Here is a 15,544-nt window from a genome sequence, read left to right on the forward strand (position 1 = left end):
GGGTCACACTTGGTTGAGCTGGAATTCTAACTCAAGTAGTCTGGCTCAAGAATCTGTTACATTACTTACCTCTTTGACTAGCCTTTTGCTTCTCACTTAAGATTTTGTATTTTTTAACTTTACTAATCTTTTAAAATAGATACCTATCATCAAGTATTTACTCCTTCACATTACTTTTCTTCCAGACATTTCCCATCTTTAGACTCTTGCAGTGCTAAGAATAGCTGCAGTAGACATATACATTCTTCATGATTTGAAAATATTATTTTGTACTAGCACTTTCATTTACACTATTGTGTTAGTTACATCGAAACAGCTAAGTACACATTTCCTAAATTGCAACTGATTTTCCTTAAATTATTTTCTTTCTCTAACTCTAATTTTTATGCTTTCTCTATTGAAATTCACTCTTTTGGTTATTTTTTTAATAAAATTTATTTGGAGAAATTTTTAAAAACATAGATACAAAAGTAAACATAATCACCGTTTTACAGATTTAACAACTAACAATTGGTCATATTCTGTTGTTTTTAAAAGACATATAGCATAACAAATAACTGTAGAGTCCTTTTTAAACTTATTCTCTAAAAAGGACAACTACTAGAGAATAATATTAGTTTAGTATTGGAGTGAACCTACTTGGTCATAGTGTTTGGATTGCTTTGTCTATTGTTGGAATTCTATAGAAAAGAAATTATCTCTCTGATGTGAGGGAATGCCTAATGTTCCTGAACAGCCATTCTCATACCATTTATTAATAAGATAAAATTGTTCTTAAGAGATTTCAATGTGGGACAAAGATAGCTTTATGATAAATATAATATAGAGCCTCAGAAATGAAAGCTATAAAACAAAAGCAGAAACTGAAGCCTCTTCTGGGAATAATGAAAATAACTTAGATTTACTCTGATAAGGAGGAGAAGAAAATAATACACTGGCATTGAAAAGCTCTAATACCAATTGATTGATGTATTATAGGGTGTTTGCCTAACAACTTAAAGATAAAGTGAGTTGTTGGTGGGTTTTTTCAGAGTAACATTTAGCTTGCCATAACTTTTTAATTCATTGTACAAATGAGTAAGGCAGTCATCAGGAAAGTGCTTCCTTTTTCTAATCAGATTATTTGATAAGACTATCTGGTAATGAGAAACAGATTTTGGTTTAATAACAATGCATATTAAAAAATTGTTGATGCTCCTAATAAAAATATTTTGTCACCATAATTTTTAATATTTATCAGTAAAGATGTTATAGAAACTGGTAGGTAAACTAATTATAAAATGATATGTTGAAATTTTAAATTAGTTATTAAAGAAAAAAACTAACACGATTTATTAGAAATAGACTAATAGCTGCAACATTTCACATGAGTTGTTAAAGAATAAAATAATAAGATTTGTTAAAATAGAATTTGGCTAATAACTTTATAAAATTATACTTGTTTCTTCAAATAAGTAGTAATCTGAATTTCTGTTTAGTTCAATTTTTGTTTATTTCACTAGCAATCGTATCTCAATCTTTTGACTAATAGAAGTATAAAGTAGATAAAATACAACCAATATACATTGTAAGTCTCATACATGAATAGAGATTCAAAACAAACATTAAATATGATCTCTGCCCTCACTTATGGGCATTTCTTGTTTTGTATTATTTGTCTCAAGTACATTGGCATGTGTACTAGACATAGACAAATGAAACAATACCAGACATTATGTATATTGAGTGCAAGTGCAAAATGCAAGTGTGAAATGTGAAGCTGACAAATGCATGTAAGACCTGAGTACAGAGGAAATCACTGTTGTCTGAAGGTAATCAGAGAAAGTAAGGAAAGACACTAAGGTCTGAAATGGTGTTTTTAAATGAATTCAGTAGTTTTAACTAAAATAGGATAGTATTTTGCCATTTACAAAGCATGTTCACTTGTATTATCTTCACATAACTCTAAAATAGGGTAGCTGTTATTACTATCCCTGAGTTAATAATGAGGAACTTGAGGCATAGAAACATTGCATGACTTGGGCAGACTTATGAGGCTAGGAGGTGGAAGACATTTAAGAACAATTTTCAGACTGCAGACTGTTTGCCTTCTCTGTAATATTATGTTGGCAATAAAGATGGTTAGTTTTTCCTTAGCAGAGAGGATATGAAAGACAGTATTTAGTTTGACCAAAAATGCTGAACTATGAATGAGTGAAAAAGGTGAGAAAATCAGTCTGATGAATGATGAATATATTGTAGAGTTGGTTATATCCGGAGATGATTTTTGGGCATTTCCCAAGTGTTAGACGCTGTGCTAAAGACTAAAGTTAGAAAGCAGGGATAGAGTCAGCCTAGTTAGGTAGGAGTAAAAGATTTGAGGTAAGCATAGATTATGTAAAGTGTGATGAATCACTGTGATTGTTAAATAAAAATATATTTAAGGTAAATTTGATAAATGGAATTTTCTGTTGTCTATTAATAGAACAGGTTAATAGCCACATGCCTTTTATTGTTGATGCAGTAAAACTCTATATCTCATTAATATTAATTTGTGATTGTCATTTGACATTAAGTATGTTATTCTGCCATTTTAGTAAGACAAGAGTTTCTAATACATTTGTGCTAGCTTCTGTATGTGGCAGCTAAATTTTAAATGGGTTCATATGATATTATGTAAGATAAATTTACTCTGAGTTCATTATTGAATCTTTTTTCTGTTTAAATATCACCTTTAAAATACAAGGAAAACTACTTTAAATATTTCACAGTTTTACCTGTAATTTTCCTTAGGATATCTTTAATAATAAACGCTACCATTTGTGGAGTGCTTACCCTGTGCCAGTTACTTTGTTCAAACTTTACATAAATCGTCTGAATTCTCATCATAAGTCTGTGAGGTTGTTCTTATTTTGTACAAGAGAAAACTGATAACATTTAAGTCACTTTTTTCAAGGTTACACAGCTAGTAAAATGATAAAGTCAGAATTTAAACCCAGGACTGTCTAATGTCAGTCTGTGCTATAATAATACTGTTTCCAATTGTTTCTCTCTCTCTCTCTCTCTCTCTCTCTAGTGTCAAAGTCTGTGCTATAATAATACTGTTTCCAATTGTTTCCCTCTCTCTCTCTCTCTCTAGTATCAAAGTCTGTGCTATAATAATACTGTTTCCAATTGTTTCCCCCCCCTTCTCTCTCTCTCTCTCTCTCTAGTGTCAAAGTCTGTGCTATAATAATACTGTTTCCAATTGTTTCCCTCTCTCTCTCTCTCTAAAGTCTGTGCTATAATAATACCTTTTCCAGTTGTTTCTCTCTCTCTCTTTCTCTGTCACATACACACACACACACACACACACACACACACACGTTCTAATTTTATGTACATGGTATTGTGTTATGTACTGTGAGTATACAAAGGTGAGTTTGACACCTCTAGGAGGAGCCCTTTTATTGAAAGACATTGCTGGGAGTGTACAATGCATGTAAAACATTGTGGAGGCCAGAAGATAAAGTTGTACAAACTGCTATGGTAGATGGTAGATCAGTGCTAATGTCTTTAAAGAGCTTTTATTTATTGGGATTAAAAAAACTTAAAGTACCAAAGGGTAAACAGACAAAATATATGAACACAATTTTAAAAAGCAGTTTAAACATACAGTGAATTGGCAATGAACAAATATGATTGATTATAATTCTAAGAAAGTCAAGTCTATGTTTCATTCACCATTGTAGTCCTAGAGTCTAGAACAGAGCCTGAGACACAGTAGACAGTAGATATTTGTTTAATTAATAAAACAACATGAAAAATTGTTCAGCCATGCTTGTAGTTAAGAAGTTCAGTGAAAGCGAGATACCATTTTTCAGTTATTAAATGTCAAGTAAAACAAAACAAAAAACAGATAGATGATAGAAAGAAATAGAATGCAGAAGAAAGTTCAGTGAAATAGGTAGTCAAGCATACCTTTCCGGTAGGAGTGTAAATGGACTCACTTCTCTTCGAGTGCAATTTATAATAGTCTTGAAAAATATTCCTAAATTTTGACCCAGCAATTCCACTTCTAGAATCTATACTGACAAGTAATCCTGAATATGTAAAATATCTTTTACAAAAATATATAATACATGATAATATATATAACACAAAAATTTGGAAAGAGTATAAATATCCAACTATAAAAAATGGTTAAGTAGGTCCTGACAAATCTCATTAATGAGCTATTATGCCAAATTTATGTAAACGTGTGAAATAACACGGAAAAATATTTGAGTTCAGTGAAAGAAGCAACACATAAAAAATGTGCATATAGGATAGTGTCAGTCTGTGTAGAAAAATAACTGGAAGAAACTGTATCCACAATGTTGGCTATTTGGGTAGTGGAACAGCAGGTGATTTTTTTTTAATTTTCTAAAATTCCTTAAAAATAGATATATTAATATATAAAATTTCTCTTATTTGGAACTGTGATTAGTAAGTAAACATCTGTTTACTGTCAAATTATTTAAATACATCCTAATCACCTTTTAAATATTTCAGTATAAAATTTTTTTAGTTACACAAAAGAAAAATTCATTTTTGACTGGTGTTAGAAAATCTGTGTTTTACTTTTCTGAGTTTCAACTAACTTTACAATTTCTATTCACTACCCCAATAATTTTAGATTTAATTCAAGACTGGTCTAGTGACAGTCCTCCAGACATTTTTTCATTTGTTCCATATACGTGGAATTTTAAAATCATGTTTCATCAGTTTGAAATGATTTGGGCTGCTAATCAACACAATTGGATCGACTGTTCTACTAAACAACAGGAAAATGGTAAGACATTAAAAAAAATTAGGTTAAATATTTCTCTCATTAAGGCAAATACCAACTAAGAAAATTAGTATTGATTTGATAGTTTTAACAGATACTAGAAGTTATTTCCCCCCATTATCTTTGTGAGACTCTCAGAAGACTGTTTCAGAGTTTGTATTGGACTAAAACTTAATTTTGTTTAGTTGTGCATTTTAGGCAATTTTATAATTGAAATTTAATGGACATTAAAAGTAAATTTACTTTTTCTTCTTTTTTTTTTTTTTTTTCTTTTGTAGTGTATCTGGCAGCCTGTGGAGAAACACTAAACATTGATTTTTCTTTGCCTTTTACGGACTTTGTTCCAGCTACATGTAATACCAAGTTCTCTTTAAGAGTATGTATAGTTGAATGCATTATTTATTCCACAGGTGTATTAGTAAATTTGATTTCCCAAAGCTTATCTTCACTCTCTTCTCCCCAGTCCATTGCAACTTCAAAGTATTTTTAGCTTTCCTCCAATGTCTACTACCTTTAGTGTCACAGAGTTCCTGTTGTTTTCTTTTTGTAGTTAACTGCATCTAAGAAATTGGTCAATTAAAAATATCTCAAGTTGATTATTTTCTTAGAGTTCATTTCTGATCTCTGTGGCTAATCTGTATGTTAGCCCTTCTAGCTCTAATGTTTACTAATTCATATGAACTAATTTTATACTTCCCTTTATTTGATTCTTAATTGTAAACATGAATTCAAGGAGTAACCACAGTAGCTTTCTTCCTTTTATCTGAATGCCAGCTCTTATGTACTTCTAAGCTCAAAATTTTATGGAACATTTTTGGTATGGATAACCAGTAGTACTTGTAGTATTAATAGTGGTTATACTGGTAAAATTAGCAACATATAGAAACAGCTAACATCTATTAAACATTTTCTGGGTACTACATAGACACTATTCCATGTGCTTTATGTAGTAACTCAATTCTCAGAACAACCCTATTGAGATTATTATTAACTGCATTTATACATTAGGAAAGTGAGGAACAGAGCTTTTGTAACTCATCATACAACTAGAGAGTTATTGGGCAGTATAGCTTAGGGCTCCATTCTTTTAACCACTCTACCTTGCTGCCTGTTAAGAAACTAGTCATCAAGATGAACAAAGAATAGAAGTCCTATTAGGAAAAAAGTAAAGCCAAATGAAGATCCTTTGATTTGCCAGTTCTGAATTATTAAAAGCCAGTTGAAGAAATGAGACTTACTAGAATCAAATGAGACAATACTATCTGAAAAATTAATAAAAATATAGAACATAGTCCACCTGAGCTTATAAAAGTTTTTTTAAAAACTGAACTTAAAAAAAATATCTGTGGATACCCATGGAAGACATTCTTTTCACTGTTTGGAAACTATGCTGTTTCTTTCCCTGATTATTTTGTTGTTTTTCAATTCAAATTTAGTTTTAGTCAATGTAAAATCTTATTCATTATTTACCTGACTGTCGAATGCAAAATCTGCCATTTCAAATTTGTTTATCTCACTCGTGTAATCCCAGCACTTTGGGAGCCTGAGGCAAGATGGTTGCTTGAGGTCAGGAGTTTGAGACTAGCCTTGGCAACACAGCAAGACCCTGTCTCTAAAAAAAACAAAAAACAGCACATTCCTCTAGTCCCAGCTACTTGGTAGGATCACTTGAGTGCAGGAGTTCAAGGCTTCACTCCAACCTCAGTGACAGAGTGAGACCATTAAAAAAAAAAAAAAAAAAAGATAAATAATACAATAAAATAAAAATAAATAAAATTTGTTAATTTTCTTTCAAACTTATTTCCAAGATTGTTGTAGACAGGTTTGCCCGTAAGTATTAACCAACATATTTATGCACTAATTTTATTACTTTGGCTTATTATAATTATTTTTTAGGGAGAAGATGTTGATCTTCATTTGTTTCTACCAGACTGCCACCCTAGTAAATATTCTTTATTTATGCTGGTAAAAAATTGCCATCCAAATAAGATGATTCATGATACTGGTATTCCTGCTGAGTGTCAAAGTGGCCAGAAAACAGTTAAACCAAAATGGCGCAACGTTACTCAGGAAAAGTGAGTACGTAAAATTAGTGACACAGGCCAGGCACAGTGGCTCACGCCTGTAATCCCAGCACTTTGGGAGGCCGAGATGGGTGGATCACCTGAGATCAGGAGTTCGAGACCAGCCTGGCCAACATGGTGAAACCTTGTCTCTAGTAAATATACAAAAATTAGCTGGGCATCATGGCGCATGCCTGTAGTCCTAGCTACCTGGGAGGCTAAGGTAGGGGAATGGCTTGAACCCAGGAGGCGGAGGTTGCAGTGAGCTAAGATCGCACCACTGCACTCCAGCTTGGGCAACAGAGACCCCATCTCAAAAAATAAATCAATTAGTAAAATAAAATAAAATTAGTGACAAGTATTTTGTGCTTATATGTGGAGAAATTCTTCTTTCAAAAAATAATAATAAAATTTGATTATCTGCAACTGGTATCTCTGTACAATTAAAGGAATGAGTATCTGACTAGAAACTGTCTGTTTTACTCTTCAAAGGTCTGGTTGGGTTGAATGCTGGACTGTCCCAAGTGTCATGCTTACAATTGATTATACATGGCATCCAATTTATCCACAAAAAGCAGATGAACAGCTGAAACAATCATGTAAGTGTTTTTATATAATTTGTGCTTTTATACAGCTGCTATTATGATTGATAATCATGAAAAATAAGAAGCAAATAAATTGAAATGCATCTATTCTTGTGACATAGTATAAATATAGTCTTACATATTTTAGATTAATTGTAGCTACCTTTTGAGCATTTACTTTGTGTCAAATGTTGGGCCAAGCAATTTTCTGGCTTCTATTATCTTCTATTATGTTTAATCCTTATAACAACTCTGTGAGAAAGATATTATCATTATTTTTATCTTAAAGTTGAGGAAATATGCTCAGAAAAGGTAAGTAATATTCTCAAAGTCTGCCAAGCTAGAAGCAGCAGAGCCTGAATATGAAACAAGGTATGTGTGAATCTGCATATTTAAGGTGCATGATTTTGTGAAATGTTAGTTTCTTTAATGCATTTTGACAGTTCTCATATGATTTATAGTTTCCTGAAGGTAATTTGCCTTATTACCTAGGTCCAAAAAAGAATTAGAGCCAAATGATGATGTTTTCTTTGTATTTTTCCAGTGAGTTAAGTTTCAAAGGATAGTTTTCATAGTTGTTTCATAGTGGCTTGATAACATTACACTGTATTTAAATAGCTATTTATATGAAAAAATTTTGTAGTTAGTGCCCAAGAATAGTTAAGGTCTTGATGTGACCCAAATTTATATTGCAGGGACTCAATAAGAATGTTGTTTATGTTAACAGAAAGTTTTCATTGATTCTCTGCAGGCTGATTTATGTATTTCTCTCATATTTCAATGATTTATTCTTTATTTGCTTTCTTAATTATTGGTCTTTTAGGTCTGTTTTCATTATATATACATTATGTAAAGATTAGTTGATGTCATATTTGCAAAGTAAAATTTCTTAGTGAATATTTCCTTGAAGATCTTCCAAGAAGTCTTTTGTCCCCCACCCCTCAAACATTAGTCTTTTTTTTCTTAATTTATTACAGTATCAGAAATGGAAGAGACAATGCTATCTGTATTAAGGCCATCCCAGAAGACATCAGACAGAGTTGTTTCTTCTCCCTCTACTTCTTCACGCCCACCTATTGATCCCTCAGAACTTCCACCTGATAAACTTCATGTAGAAATGGAACTTTCTCCAGATTCTCAGATAACTCTCTATGGACCTCTACTAAATGCCTTTTTGTGTATAAAGGTATGATTCTTAAAAACAACTTACATACTTTTAAATATAGACAAAGCAATTAAAATTTAATTGAAAATTGAGACCGTTTGAAATAGCCAGTTGGATTATTTAAAGTGTTGAGGATATACCAGATATGTTGACTGGACTTGGGGTGCTAGACTCAATTACAAAATTATTTATTAAAAATAGTACTCCTCAGTTCAGCATTCTTTTGTGCATTTAGTATGTTCTAGGAATGGTGCTAGTTGCTATAGATAGAGATGATGTAGCATCTGTTCTCAGGGAGGTAAGCTAGAGGGATAGCTAGGATAGACAGATATATGGACAAATTTTAACACATTGTAAGTAATGTAGCAATAGAAGTACTACATATATCTGAGAATAATTGGTAATGGAAAAGACTACTTTAAGTGAATCCCTTAAAAATAAGTGACAACGTTTTATGATAATGAACAAATATTTGCTTGGTGCTTTATTTGAAAAACTGAAGGAAATATATGAAAATAAGTTTATTTCAGAGTATATCAAACTTAGGTTCTAAATAAATATGCACTAATGCTTAGAACAAAGAACAAGTGTTGACTCATTTTGGTATAATTTTTTCCACTGAAATTGTGTAATTGCACAGTATGACAGCACTTTAAAGTTGATCTCTGTAGAATGATTATGAAGAGAGGCTATTTTTGGATAAATATTTGAGGAGTTCATCAGTTTTTTGGAAATCACTCTTATTCTTTTGATGTTCAAATCATGTTTTAAATGTCCCCAACAGATTATCAACAATTCTTACTGATTTAATCTTTATGGTAACTACTATAATCCTTGCTGATCCTTACTTATCACCTTTGCCTGTGATTAGAGGAGTTATCCAACATCACTTTCAACAACTTAAGAAATTTTGCATTTTTACAGGATCGGCAGATTCACTTTGGATATCGAATACCTAGCTGACAAGGAATCCTGTAATGTACAGTAATTAATTCTGGAGAGAGGGACTAGGATGTTTAGGGTTGGACAGGGAAGCACAATCAAGGTTTGTTAGTAAAGGCTCTCTGCAGGAAGTGCTGGCTGAACTGGGTTTTGAAGGTATATAGCATCTCAATATTTGAGTTATTATATTGTATTTATGAAAAACTACCATAAATCATCAGATGATGTAACTTAGTATAAAAGATGCAAGGGAAAATGTGGTTAATATTTGTAGATACCTAGAGTTTCTGTTGATTACATACACACTTTTCTTCCTTCTTGTGACCATCGTTTGACCTAAAATGTATGTCAAATATGTCTCCCAATGTCTTACTTTCTTGAGATTGCATGTGAATAACTATAAAGGATTTAAAAGGTAATTTTCAAGCTATAGTCTTCCTGAAGAGGCTGCATTGTATTTTACTTAAATATAAGTAATGATTTAATTAGTAGGTGAAGGTAGTCATAGTGATACAGCATCAGTTTTTGAATACTACTAGAGTGGTATTAACTTTTGTTTTTGTGTTACTATGTACACATGGAACCTCAGTTTGTTTTTATCAAAAAAAAAACTGATAGTAATACATATTCACCAAAAATAAGAGGACTCTAACAAAACAGAATACAGTGAAATAAATATATGCTTTCATTTTAGACTTGTTTATAAGTTCTCTGCAGATGTAGCCATTGCTGATAGGTTATTGTTTTCATACAGACTTTTGTGCATTAAAGGCTTTAAAGCAACTTTTTGGTAGTTTCAAAAGTTTGTCTTGCCCTAAATATTATATTAGTGATGACATTCATCTAATTAGCTTAGAAGTTGTATAAAATGTCTATTAAAGCAAATTGTAAAATTTTAAATTTTGACATGTTTACTAAATATATATCAAAGACATGACAGGTAAAAACTTTGTCTAGCCCAATGAACGCTATGCTTCCTTTTATAAGGAATTTGTGCAATTCTTTGAGTTTCTGGTTTTGGTTTCGGTTTTTAAGAGACAGGGTCTTGCTTTGTCATTCAGGTTGGAGTGCAGTGGAGCAATCATAGCTCTTTGTAATCTGGAACTCCAGGGCTCAAGTGATCCTCCTGCTTCAGCCTGTTGAGTAGCTAGGTCTACAGGCGAGCACCACCACACCCATCTAATTTTTAAAAAATTATTTTTTGGAGAGACTGGGTCCTGCCATGTTGCCCAGATTTGTCTCAAACTTCTTCCTGGCCTCAAGTGATCCTCCCACCTTGGCCTCCCAAAGTGTTGGGATTATAGGTGTGAACCACCATTCCTGGTCTGTTTGTTTAACTATATAATGTGTATTTTACTTGGTATCAGTATTAGTACCTTAAAACTTTTTGGAAGTTCAAAAATGTATATATTATTTTTATAATATATTCAAATTCATATATGAAATTTTCTTGTTCATGTATTTTCATGTATACATGAAAAATAAAATGGGAATTTAAAGGAATGTAAAAATTCATGTAACCGAGATTGTCTTTTTTTAGTTATCAAAATTAAACATCAAGAAATTATAAAGAATAAACTAGGAAAAAAATCACTATATTTGTTTGGCTGTATATGAAAGACTGCTTTCCAAAATCCATGGAAGAAACTAGACCTGGCATTATCATTAAAAAAATTCTAAGAAGAATATGTCTACTGAATATGCATTAAAATTTATGAGGACATGTATGGAAATGGAAGGTCTTCTGCAGATGTAGACAATATTGTAATTCTAACTGTCAGCCCAAAGTCATTTCAGTCATATTAAAACTTTGTCATTTCTTCTGTTGTGGATATAAGGTTGGATAACAATGCTACTTATATTACTTTTCTGAATTGACTTCTCTTTAGTCTTATTTCATTTTTTTGTTAATGAAGAAAAATAAATCTTTTTATAGTGATAACATGTCAGTGGTAGCAAATAACTGCATGAAAGGGTATATATGGCATATATGTTCTTATTAAAAATAATTTTAATAATCTTGAACAGAAACCTGGCTATTAATTTTTCTTTTTTCAAAAAAGTATAATTTTGGAAACAGTACTTGTGGACTTTTCCTACTGTTTCTCTGATTGTATTAGCTGTCATCTTTTAGCCTATTGTTATTTTTTTTTTCTGTTTTGAGAAATGAGCATCATTGGATAAGTATACATTTTTAGCTAGGAAAAACATTGCAGTCTCTTACTTGAAGTAGGTGACAAGACACTCATATACCAAAATACCATTATGTAAAGAAAATTTTGGAGAATTCTTAAGTAAATTGAAATGTAGTTTATCATTCATAAATTCAAGCATAATGTAAATTTGACAAAAGAACACATTTTCTCGGTTCTATAAGCCAGTGAATTTTTTCTGGGGTTGTTTGGAATTTATTTTAAAGATAGTTTAAGCTTACATGCCATCTATTATAAAATGAAATTGAAAGTTTTATTTGTATTTGTAAATATTTGTGTACATTTATTAATCTTAAAGTACCATAAAAGTTTGCCGTAATGTATTACCATCTACCTTACATTTGATCAACCTTTTTGGTAACTATTTTTTTTTTTTTCAGTAAATTCTTTTTTTTTTTTTTTTTTTTTTTTTTGAGACAGGGTCTCACTTTGTCACTCAGGCAGTGGCATGGTCATGGTTCACTGCAGCCTCGACTTCCTGGGCTCAGGTGATTTTCTTAGCCTCCCAAGTAGCTGGGACCACATGCATGCGCCACCATGCCTGGATAATTTTTGTATTTTTTGTGGAGACAGGGTTTCGCCATGTTGCGCAGGCTGGTCTCGAACTCCTAGGCTCAAGTGATCTGCCCACCTGGGCCTCCTGAAGTGCTGGGATTACAGGCATGAGCCACTGTGCCTGGCCTTTCAGTTAATTCTTAGGAAATTAACTAATAGATTTGGAATTCATAAATTAAGAGAAACCCTTAAGTCACACACCCAGCATTAGACATATAACATTAGACAAAGTTCTTAAAGGAGTTATAATTTTAAAAGTACATTTTGTTGATAATATTCAGTAACTACAAATGTATTAACTCATGAAAGAATCCTAGTGTTTTATAACTCCTTTAGAGCAAAGTCACTGACACATTTAATAAAAATTAGCAAATGTTCTCTGCTATGTTGGACATTCAGTGTTCCCTAAAGAATTTGATATGAATTATTTCCATTTCAGATAATTAAATGGAGATTGCTTTAGTAGCAAATTGAACATTAGACCCAAGGGTATCTTTTTTCTTTTTACTGTAATAATCTACAGGAATCTAAATTTTTTTAAGATTTACAATGATAACAGACTACAAGGGAATTTTTAAAAAATAAGAGATCTGTTGGCTAGGATCATTAAAAATGACTTAAAATGAGTGCTGGTAACTGTTTTGTTGGTACATGTTAGTATGCTGAAACCTAATAGTAGTTGAGTCCTTAGATCAGCTGTTTGGGGAGAAGGTGGGACAGAGGTGATTTTCTGGGGGCCATTTACAGATGGAAGTATCAAAGGAGTTTTTCCACTTTACACTTGACCCTGGACTCTGCCTACTGCAAACTTTGTGAACAGTCATCAGGACTGGGGTGGAATGTGTATTTCATAAAGGCTTCTGGAGGGGAGAACTACTGCTTTGAACATCTTTAAGTTTTGTTTGTTTGTTTACTTTATTTCAATAGTTTTGGGGAACAGGTAGTTTTTGGTTACGTGGATAAGTTCTTTAGTGGTGATTTCTGAGATTTTGCTGCACCCGTCACCTGAGCAGTGTACACTATACTCAACGTGTAGTCTTTTATCCCTCACCCCCCCCATCCTTCCTCTCGAGTCTCCAAAGTCTGTTATATCATTCTTATGCCTTTGTGACCTCATAGCTTATCCCCCACTTATGAGTGCAAACATATATTTGGTTTTCCATTAATAAGTTACTTCACTTAGAATAATGGTCTCCAATTCCATCCAGGTTGCTGTGAATGCCATTATTTCATTCCTTTTTATGGCTGAGTAGTATTCCATGGTATATATATGTGTGTGTGTGTGTATCTATCTTTGTCTGTCTATCTATCTATCTATCTATCTATCTATCTATCTATCTATCTATCTATCTATCTATCTACCACATTTTCTTTATCCACTCATTGGTTGTTGGGCATTAAGGTTGGTTCCATATTTTTCAATTGTGGACTGCGCTTCTATGAACATGTGTGTGCAAGTGTCTTTTTCATATAATGACTTCTTTTCTTTTGGGTAAATACCCAGTAGTGGAATTGCTGGATCAAATGGTAGTTCTGCATTTAGTGGGAGTCTCCATTCTGTTTTCCATAGTGGTTGTACTAGTTTACATTCCCACCAGCAGTGTAAAAGTGTTCCCTTTTCACCACATCCACACCAACATCTATTATTTTTAACTTTTAAATTATGGCCATTCTTGCAGGAGTAAGGTGGTATCATGTTGCGGTTTTGATTGCATTTCCCTAATCATTAGTGATGTTGAACATTTTTCGTATGTTTGTTGTCCATTTGTATATCTTCTTTTGAGAAATGTCTATTCATGTACTTTGCCCACTTTTTGATGGGATTATTTGTTTTTTCCTTGCTGATTTGTTTGAGTTCCCTGTAAATTCTGTATATTAGTCCTTTGTCAGATGCATAGTTTGTGAAGATTTTCTTCCACTCTGTGGGTTGTCTGTTTATTCTGCTGATTATTTCTTTTGCTGTGCAGAAGTTTTTTAGTTTAATTAGGTCCCGTTTATTTGTTTTTGTTTTCGTTGCATTTGCTTTTGGGCTCTTGGTGAAGAATTCTTTGCCTAAGCCAATGTCTAGAAGAGTCTTTCTGATGTTATCTTAGAATTTTTATGGTTTCGTGTCTTAGATTTAAGTCTTTGATCTATCTTGAGTTGATTTTTCTATAAGGTGACAGAAGAGGATACAGTTTCATTCTTCTACTTGTGGCTTGCCAGTTATCCCAGCACAATTTGCTGAATAGGTTTTTGTTTCTTATTTTGTTTATGTGATGTGTCACATTTATTGATTTGTGTATAAACCATCCCTGCATCCCTGGTATGAAACCCACTTTTCGCACTTTATGTTTTTGTATGCTTTGTCGATGATCAGTTGGCTGCAAGTATTTGGCTCCACTCTGGCTTTATTTTGGGTTCTCTATTCTGTTCCATTGGTCTGCGTGCCTGTTTTTATAACAGTACCTTGCTGTTTTGGTAATGATAGCCTTGTAGTATATAGTTTGAAGTCGGGTAATGTGATGCCTCCAGATTTGTTCTTTTTGCTTAGTCTTACTTTTGCTATGCAGGTTCTTTTTTGGTTCCATATGAATTTTAGGATTTTTTTTTTTTCTAGTTGAGTGAAGAATTACGGTAGTATTTTAATGGGAATTGCAATTAATTCATAGATTGCTTTTGGCATTATGGTCATTTTCACAATATTGATTCTACCCAATTGTTGAATAGGTTTTTGTTTCTAATTTTGTTTATGTGATATATCACATTTATTGACTCATCCCTTCATCCCTGGTGTGAAACCCACTTGATCATGGTGAATTATCTTTTTGATATGCTCTTAGATTCAGTTAGCTAGTATTTTGTTGAGGATTTTTGCATCTTTGTTCATCAGGGATATTGATCTTTAGTTTCCTTTTTTAAATGTCTTTTTCTGGTTTTGGTATTCGGGTGATTACTGTCTTCAAAGAATGATTTAGGGAGGACTCCCTCTTTATCTTTTGGAATAGTTTCAGTAGGATTGGTACCATTTCTTTTTTAAATGTCTGATAGAATTCAGCTGTGAATCCATCTGGTCCTGGGCTTTTTTTTGTTGGCAATTTTTAAAAATTACTTTTTCTCTCTCACTGTTTGTTATTCATCTGTTCAGAGTTTCTGTTTCTTCCTGGTTTAATCTAGGAGGGTTGCATATTTCCAGGAATTTATCCATCTCCTCTGGATTTTCCAGTTTGTTCACCTAAAGGTGTTCATAGTAG

The 15,544-nt window shown here is 32.5% G+C and overlaps 1 protein-coding gene across 43 annotated transcripts in view; it reads left to right on the forward strand.

Moving 5' to 3' along the window:
- The window catches only part of BLTP1 (bridge-like lipid transfer protein family member 1), a 210,422-nt gene that overhangs the window by 50,143 nt on the left and 144,735 nt on the right, over positions 1-15,544 (forward strand). For 41 of the 43 annotated variants that reach the window (XR_938783.2, XM_047416253.1, XM_047416259.1 and 38 more), the window contains 5 exons: positions 4,637-4,792; positions 5,068-5,165; positions 6,686-6,864; positions 7,345-7,451; positions 8,414-8,622. Coding sequence is in view for 42 of the 43 variants with exons in the window: in XM_047416253.1 (XP_047272209.1) it covers positions 4,637-4,792; positions 5,068-5,165; positions 6,686-6,864; positions 7,345-7,451; positions 8,414-8,622 (749 nt within the window). In the remaining variant the exon portion in view is untranslated. Of the gene's footprint in view, positions 1-4,636; positions 4,793-5,067; positions 5,166-6,685; positions 6,869-7,344; positions 7,452-8,413; positions 8,623-15,544 lie in introns of those variants that run through there. The other 2 variants (XM_011532330.2, XM_024454243.1) reach the window with 2 other exon arrangements.

This window comes from Homo sapiens, chromosome 4 (genome assembly GCF_000001405.40).
Source record: "Homo sapiens chromosome 4, GRCh38.p14 Primary Assembly".
Taxonomy (NCBI): domain Eukaryota; kingdom Metazoa; phylum Chordata; class Mammalia; order Primates; family Hominidae; genus Homo; species Homo sapiens.